The 9,241-nt window shown below is 45.3% G+C and overlaps 1 annotated feature.

The window, feature by feature from the left end:
• Positions 361 to 610: an enhancer, noted in NCBI's record as "active region_24641". NCBI's record gives its function as "activates an Ori minimal core promoter by ATAC-STARR-seq in GM12878 lymphoblastoid cells {active_cell/tissue: GM12878}" and the evidence as "EXISTENCE:reporter gene assay evidence [ECO:0000049][PMID:35858748]".

Below are 9,241 nucleotides of genomic sequence, written 5' to 3' on the forward strand. Positions count from 1 at the left end.
GGTGAAAATATGGTACAGAGGAATTCAGAGTTAAGATCAAACAGAGAGTACATGGGATGGTACCCTAGGGAGGGGAACTGGGCTATGGGCTTGGCATTTAACCAGTTCTCCTACAGAGACAGGAGAAGCAGTTGTGGGGTGAAGATGGTAGTCAGGAAATGGCAAAATTCAGACACAGAATTGGCAAGAAGCAAGAAAGATGGAGTAGGGTAGAGGCCTTGGCTCTGATGGGTCTATTTTGGAGGGTGGTTGGGAGGCTGTAAACCCTTGGTGACAGGATGTTGGGGCCATAGGAGGCTGGGAACCAGTGGGTGCTCTCTGTGGTTACCTCCCCTGGCTGTTGAGCCTGAGTCGGCTCATGCTCCAAGCCCCCTCTCTCAAAAACCAACATCCCTTCTTGAGTGCTCACTCAAACCCAACTACACTGACTCAGCAGGCCCGGGAAGCACCGAGAAACCTTTGGGGGAAATCCAAAGCCCAGACCTTCTTATTCTGAGAACCTCCCACCACCGGAAGGAAGAAAAGATCACGAAACTCAGCACTTTCCAGCCCACCATTCCTGTCCACCGTGGTGGCACTGGCCAAGGGTTGGCGGGTCTGCAGCTATTTTTACCCTCAGATTTCCGGAATTGCCAACCAATCCTGGTTACATGACACCACAGTCAACTCAACTACATCCGTAGTAATCACAAGAAACCTAAGCCACAATGTGCATCTGTACAAGGCCACACTCACCCTTATCCTGGACACCCGGGACCCTGACTACAGAGTCGAGTGCCAAGGCCCAAGCTGGAGAGCAAGGAGGCACCTCCTTCAGGCTTTCCAAGGGTCAGACGGATGTTCCTAGTAGCCCACAGCCACTGCCTGTTGGAGGACACCAAAGTTCAGGGTTTGTGTTTCAATCCTTCCAAGGGCCTCTAAGTTAGATGTTCCTGTGGTTTGTGGTGGACTTGGTCCATAATAGTATTTTACAGCCACAAAGAGCTACTTTGTTGAAGCCTGTCTCGCCCGACCCTGTGTTAATGGTTACCAACTTGACAATGGTTTCTTTCCTTTTTTAATTCTCTCACCTGTGAACCTCCAGCTGACTTACCTTTCGTTTTCCACCTTCCATCTGCCTCTCAGTCAACAGACTTCTTTCAGAGATTCTACAGGCTGGTATATTTTGAAAAGGAAATATTCCCTCATAGTGTGGATAGATAAATAATGTCAATGTCAAGAAAATTTTAATCCTAAATAGATTTTTTTTTTTCTACCTGGAATATATGAGAAGAATCCTGTGACCTGTAAAGTCCCACTCAAGGCTTTTCCAGGCTGCTGGAAGGAGGGTGTTTGGGAAGAATGAAAATGATCACAGTATTCTTTTCTCCAGTGGCATCCAATGGCTTTGGTTTTCTTTGAAGTGAGAGCTAGAAGAGTCAAAGAATACTTGTTTATAATTGTTGTTTAAATAGCATTTATTGCTGTGTTATATAAAGATAGTCCCGGCTGCAGGCCAAAGGCTGGCCCAGTTGCTCTGCCACCATCTTCCTGGAAAGGAGACCCTCGCTCACAGTGGATGTTTCTGCCTCCTAGTGACCAAAACGTTGTCCACTGAAAGCAACTGAATATTCAAGCCACCATTTTCTTTTTCTTTTATTGACAAATGTTTTTTGAGCCTCAAAACACTACTAAATCATAAGACCATTCCCCCTTGGATTTCCCTCAGAAAATTAACTTGGATCAAGAAGGATTCAGTGTGAGTCGGTCTCTAAATCTGCCCAGCTCAGGGAGCTCAAATGTTGGCCTACAGCCCCTCTTTTGCAGGCCCAGCTTCCGGTGACCATTCATCAGGGGATTTGCAACAGCAAGTATTTTCTGTCTCAGTTACTGATCTGTGATTCACCAACTGCAGAATTACCTAGCTGGCCCATCAGCAAGGGCGCCTCAGGGCTCAGAAGGCCAGGGTGGGTGGCATGGGGTGAGTTGAGGTGGGAGGAAGACGCAGAGAAAAGCTACAAAAACAACAGACTTGATAGGTGCACTATTTCATCATGTAATATTCAAATATAAGACCCTGGCCCAAAATAGCTGCTCACTTGCTGCCTTTTCTCTCTGTGCTAGCTCCAAGAAACACGAAGTGAGAAGGAGCTGAACAAAATGCCTCATTCATGAGAGCCTGGCGGATGCAAAAGAGTTCACAACTCGATAATCCCTGACAGCCCTCATTAAATCATGGCACTGCAGGTGCGAAGGCTGCTGGGAGTGGGGCTGTAACCCGGGTGGGCAGTGTCAGTCCCAAGCCAGAGGACTGGAACTCTGTCCCTTGATTCTCTGTAAGGCAGGAGAGGTCAGCTTCCAAGTTGACAAGGGGACAGCCTGGCCAGGGAACAGTCCCAATTCAGAATGAATACTTAAGGCAGAAGTCTTTCTGCAGCAAAAAGTCAGAGGCTTTCCTGTTAATTTGATGTATGTTCGTATAAAGGCTTGGTTTCTTCAATAAAATCGAGCCCCAGATACTCCAAAACCAGTAAGGGGGGAAGAATCTTTTGGTTCTTGATTCTCATCTCTCAAGAGTCACCCTCCTCTTAGAGGTCAATCCTAACTGCTGTTTTCTGCACATCAACTGCAGGAAAGAGCCTTCCTTGGCAGCTGGAGCACAACATGTGATCCTACCAGTACCAGCACACAAGAGGTCCCTGGTTTCGCCATAGGGGAGCATCTCCAGCAGGCACAGGAGGGCATCTTGTTAAATTGCAAATATCATTGAGAATCATAGCCCATGATGCTGTTCCTAATATTACAAGGTGCCAAGAGGGGATATAAAGGAGTGAAAGAACCCAGCTCCTGCCCACCAGTGACCCCACCAGCAAACTGTTGGTTGGCAAGCAACAGTCACAAAGGAAAACTGACATAGAAGGCAGCTTTAGACAACCTCTCTTGTCCTGTTTCTTTTCACGTACAATGGGGATGATGATAATAAAAACAGCACCTGGCTCTATCAGATGGTTAGGAAAATATAATGAGTCTGGAAATCTAGTATGAGCCTCTCAAAATTATATTAGTTAAGTGAAAACTTCCTATGGCATCGTTTGCCACAAGACAGGCTCCAGGGTAGTGCAACTCTGCTAGACCCTTCCTGGTGGTTTTATTTCCTGGCCTAATAGAGGCTGTGCTCCCCAGGGCCATGGCATGTGTCCCAGGGACTTCACTTTGTGAGGTCTTAAGTCACTTTCTGCAAAGAGAAAAATCTGGCTGCTGGGTCTCTTGGTATACAAGTTGAACTTGTAGCTACGGGGACATCAGGTTTTCAACTTTGATATGCACATTTAAGCCTTTACTTAGTGAAAATACTTTCTTAATAATTAAGATTTTTATTTGATTATTTGAGGGTATCAAATTGTCACATGCATCCCAAAAATATGTACATCTATTACACATCAATAAAAAAAAATTAACTCTTTCATCTGGTCACCTAGATAGCAACCAATATGTGAGGAATTGGGAATGAAAACACAGAAGTCATTCAAAGCAATCCAAACCATTGAAATTCAACCACCGTGTTAACACACTTTGCAAGCAGACTGAAGAAAAATGTAAAACTGAAGCTATTTCTAATGGCTTTAGTTAAACAAAATAAACCTGGAAGCGAAAGTAAAATTATTTCTCCCAACTGCAGTTTTTACAAGGGTAGAAAAATCAAATGCTTTCCTTAAACTACAAAGCAGACAGAACCCTTCAAAAGTACATGAGAAATGGCAGGTATTTAGGTGATTAAGTTTGAGTGGACATGTAAGAAATGTTTCTGGAACACTGTGGAGCAACTGGACAGGATGGCACTCAGCAGAATCATCAGGACTGGATGGTGTTAGAAATGCAAGCCTGCAGCTACACACTTGTATCCCAGGACTTGGAAACTGAATCCATCCTTAACTCCCCGCTACCTTCATCTCCCAAGAGACTAAGACTTGAAGGTCTTCAGAAAGCTAGAATGTTTGAGAAATCACAGGCAAAGTATTTGAAATCATGAGCATTTTCTGGGGCCTTCCTTCTGTTTTTCTAATTGGCCTTCCCCCGTGTGTTAGCCAGCTCAGGCTGCCATAACAAAATGCCACACACTGGGTGGCTTAAACAGAAATTTATTTTCTCACAGTTCTGGAGGCTAGAAGTTCAAAATCAAGGTGTCAGCAGGTCTGGTTTCTCCTGAGGCCTCTCTCTTTGGCTTGCAGATGGCCACCCTCATGCTGTGTCTGTACATGGTTATCTCTGTGTTCACACACATCCCTGTGTCTGTCTGTGTATCCAAATTTCCTCTTCTTGTAAGGACACCAGTCAGATCGGATTAAAGCCCGCCCTAATAGTCTCATTTTAACTTAATCACCTATTTTAAGATGCTATCTGCAAATACAGTCCCATTCTGAGGTACTGGGAGTTAGGATCTCAACACAGAAATTGGTGGTGGGGAGGAGGGGGCACAATTAGCCCATAATGCTCTGTTCTTAATCTCCCTACATCTCTGCACTGGGGATATTCTGCTGGGGGCTCTCTTGCCTGCTTTCTCTTCCATCTCTGAACCTCTTCATCTTTCTGACTCGGCGTCCTCAGTTCCTCTGTGCATGTCTCTTCCACCCACACCCTCCGCCCTCTTACCTACCTCATTCTTCCTGTCTTTCTTCAGATATCTGTTCATTTCTATGTGCCTGTTGTAAGTAATAGTGTATCAGTCTGTTCTCACACTGCTAATAAAGAGATGCCCAAGACTGGGTAATTCATAAAGGAAAGAGATTTAATGGAGTCACAGTTCCACATGGCTGGGGAGGCTTTACAATCATGGCAGAAGGCAAAGGAGGAGCAAAATGACATCTTACATGGTGGCAGGCAAGAGAACTTGTGCAGGGGAACTCCCACTTCTAAAACCATCAGACTTCGTGAGACTTATTTACTATCACGAGAACAGTATGGGGGAAACCACCCCCATGATTCAACTATCTCCACCTGGCCCTGCCCTTGACACGTGGGCATTATTACAATTCAAAGTGAGATTTGGGTGGGGACACAGCCAAACCATGTCAGATGGCAACAGAAAAATGTTGTCCCTGCCCCCTAGAAACTTTTATTCTGAAGTGGAGAGGAGACTTGACCTCAGATAACCATAATACAAAGGCAGCTTGTGATTAGCACCGTAAGAGACTAGAGCGGAGGTTGGCTGGGCACGGTGGCTCATGCCTGTAATCCCAGCACTTTGGGAGGCCGAGGTGGGTGGATCACAAGGTCAAGAGACTGAGACCATCCTGGCCAACATGGTGAAACCTCATCTCTACTAAAAATACAAAAATTAGCTAGGTGTGGTGGCGTGCGCCTGTAGTCCCAGCTACTTGGGAGGCTGAGGCAGGAGAATTGCTTGAACCCGGGAGGTGGAGGTTGCAGTGAGCCGAGATCGCACCACTGCACTCCAGCCTGGTGACAGAGCAAGACTCTGTCTCAGAAAAAAAAAAAAAAAAAGACTAGAGACTAGTAGAGGCTGGCAAACTACAGGCCATAGGCCAAATCCAGCCCACCTGTTTTTATAAATAAAGTTTTATTGAAACACAGCCATGCCCATTTTTGTGTGCATTATTTATGGCTGCTTTTGCGGAGTTGTGTAATTGTGACAAAGACTATATGGCCTGCAAAGCCAAAGATATTTACTTTCTGGTTCTTTACAGAAAAAAGTTTGCTGACTCTTGCACTAAAGTCAGATTTTACAGATGCGAGGTAGGATGAATCCCATTTGACTACTGCACTGGGAATATGTCCCTGAGGAAGTATAGTTTCAGCTAGGCTTTGAAGGATTCATAAAAGTTCAAGAAGTGAAGGTGGGAACAGGGTTCTAACAACATGAACAGCACGGACCAATGTGTGAGGCCACAGAAATCTGATGCATATTTGGGGCCAAAGTGAAGATAGGAGCCTGGATCTCAATCAGTGGGCTGTGGAGTATCTTGGAGACTTTTGTAGCAGGGGTTGACCTATAATTAGCACAGATGAGGCACTGCATGAAATACACAGATGAATTAGACCTGATTCCTGCTATCAAGGAGCTTATAACTCTAATAATGGTAATATGACAAGTGCCCAAACAATTATATTACAGGGCAGAACAATGCCTCTATAGGGAAACCTAAACCTGGAAAGTGATCAAAGAGGGGTTCAAGCACAGTAAAAACTGATAATCAGGTAGAGGATGGATTATTAATGACAATAATAATGATAATTAAGATTCACTGGGCCGGGTACAGTGGTTCACGCCTATAATCCCAGCACTTTGGGAAGCTGAGGTGGGCGGATCACTTGAGGCCAGGAGGTCGAGACCAGCCTGGCCAACATGGTGAAACCATGTCTCTACTAAAAATACAAAAATTAGCCGAGCATGGTGGTGTGTGCGTGTAATCCCAGCTACTCGGGAGGCCGAGGTGGGAGAATTGCTTGAACCTGGGAGGCAGAGGTTGCAGTGAGCCAAGATTATGCCACTACACTCCAGCCTGGGTGACAGAGTGAGACTCCATCTCAAAAAAAAAGAAAGAAAAAAGATTAACTGGACCTGTGGTATGAGCCAGGTCCTCTGCTAAGTGCTTTACACACCACATCTCAATTAATGTCATAATAACCTTGTAAGGAGATACTCATATTATTCCCAATTAACTGATGAGGTAACTCAGTTAAGTCAGATGACCCAGTTAACTATTATTCCTATTTAACTGATGAGGAAATTCAAACTAAGCTGGGATTTGAACCCAAGTTAGATACTTCTATACTCCATACATCCAAATTAGATACTCCCAAACCCCATGCATCCTAGTTAGACACTCCCATACTTCATGTATCCTAGTTAGTCACTTCCATACTCCACACATCCTAGTTAGACACTGCCATACTCCATGCATCCTAGGTAGTCACTTCCATACTCCATGCATCCTAGTTAAATACTCCCATACTCCATGCATCCTAGTTAGACACTCCCATACTCCATGCATCCTAGTTAGATACTCCCATACTCCATGCATCCTAGTTAGATACTCCCATACTCCATGCATCCTAGTTAGACATTCCCATACTCCATGCATCCTACTTAGTCACTTCCATACTCCACACATCCCAGTTAGATACTCCCATACTCCATGCATCCTAGTTAGATACTCCCATACTCCATGCATCCTAGTTAGATACTCCCATACTCCATGCATCTTAGTTAGATACTCCCATACTCCATGCATCCTAGTTAGATACTGCCATACTCCATACATCGTAGTTAGACATTCCCATACTCCATGCATCCTAGTTAGATACTCCCATACTCCATACATCCTAGTTAGATACTCCCATACTCCATTCATCGTAGTTAGACATTCCCATACTCCATGCATCCTAGTTAGATACTCCCATACTCCATACATCCTAGTTAGATACTCCCATACTCCATTCATCGTAGTTAGACATTCCCATACTCCATGCATCCCAGTTAGTCACTTCCATACTCTATGCATCCTAGTTAGGCACTCCCATACTCCACGCATCCTAGTTAGACACTCCCATACTCCATGCATCCTAATTAGACACTCCCATACTCCATGCATCCTAGTTAGACACTCCCATACTCCATGCATCCTAGTCACTTCCACTTCCATACTCCATGCATCCTAGTCACTTCCATACTCCACGCTTCCTAGTTAGATACTCCCATACTCCATGCATCCTAGTTAGGCACTCCCATACTCCACGCATCCTACTCCACACATCCTAGTTAGATACTCCCATACTCCATGCATCCTACTCCACACATCCTAGTTAGATACTCCCATACTCCATGCATCCTAGTTAGACACTCCCATACTCCATGCATCCTAGTTAGTCACTTCCACACTCCATGCATCCTAGTTAGATACTCCCTCCATGCTCTTCACCACTAAGGTGAGAGGGGCAGCAGGGAGAGACCTATTGGAAGACTTTTGCGGAAGTCTTACCATTTGGAGAAAAATGAACAGGAGGATTTAAGATTTGTAGTTTATAGTTAGTATTTGAGTAGGTTCCAGTTTTTGAAAAAACAAGGGGGGGAAATGTATAAGGACGACTGATGGCTCAGCACTTGGTTCCAATGTGTGGGTTGTGAAGGAATGGATTCCCTGCTGCTCCTTTGGGAGCAATGTGCTCCTCTCCCCTTCTAGGAGAGAACTCTAAAGGTGTTGTTCTCAATAGTATGTGCTCACACCATAATAGTTTGTGCTTTACATTTAAAAGTACCTCAAGGTTAGTGATATAACTGGAGGCTCACTGAGGCTGAGGATTGCTGGCATTTCAGATGATGGGTGGTGAGGGGCGGGGGTGTTTGGAAGAAGCCCCTCTGGCCCTTCCACCATCCTCCTACAGGGTGCTGACAAGACTCCTGGAGATGTACGGGAGGCCTCATGGTACTAAGAACCACAGCTAAAAACCATGGCAGAGCAGGGGGCTTGGCGCATCAACAAGGAAGCATCCTCTGGGCAGCAAATGAGCTGGTGGGAAAAGAGACGCTCTGCAGTCCTGACACCCAGCAGGGAGGAGCAGGGAGGAGCAGGGAGGAGCAAGGAGGATCAGGGCCTGCTGACTACATTTGGGTCCTGAGGAGAAAGGTCAGGAGCTACTGCCCAGGGTGTCAGGGAAGACAGAATAGATTCAATGCAGGAAATCAGTAGCCCTTTGGTCCCCCCTTTTCCCCCCTGGGGTTCCACCACATACCACTGGGTCATAAATGACAAGGTGCAATTACAGCAAAGTGCTAAAGTTACAAGTTTGTTCTAAACACTCTTCAACAAAGAATATTCAGTGAAAAGGAACCCCAGGGAGTTATAAACCTTTTTTGCTGTGTAGAAACCATAAGGTTTCCATCCAAGAATGTGTTGTCTGTTTGAGGCTGGCCTTTATTCTTTCAGACGGGTGCCAGTGGCATGCATCTCAAATGAGCAGTTGTCTGTGGCCCCAGAGTCTGTGGCTGAGGCATATCTAATCAGGTTAAGCGGCCGTTCATCCCAGCTGTCAGCTCTCTGGAAATCAGAACATTATCTGCAACCACACACAATTCAAATAAGAGGCTGGCATTCAGAGGCCTGAATCTCCAACTTCCCCCCAACCTTGCTGTGATGGTCCCTGGTTTTCTCTTTTCCTACGTGACTATATACAATAGTAGCAAAGCTATTTTAGGGATTAAAACAGCTAATTGCAGATTTCCATCATGGCCAGCCACTCAGAA

Source organism: Homo sapiens, chromosome 6, assembly GCF_000001405.40.
Source record: "Homo sapiens chromosome 6, GRCh38.p14 Primary Assembly".
NCBI classification, from domain to species: Eukaryota; Metazoa; Chordata; class Mammalia; order Primates; family Hominidae; genus Homo; species Homo sapiens.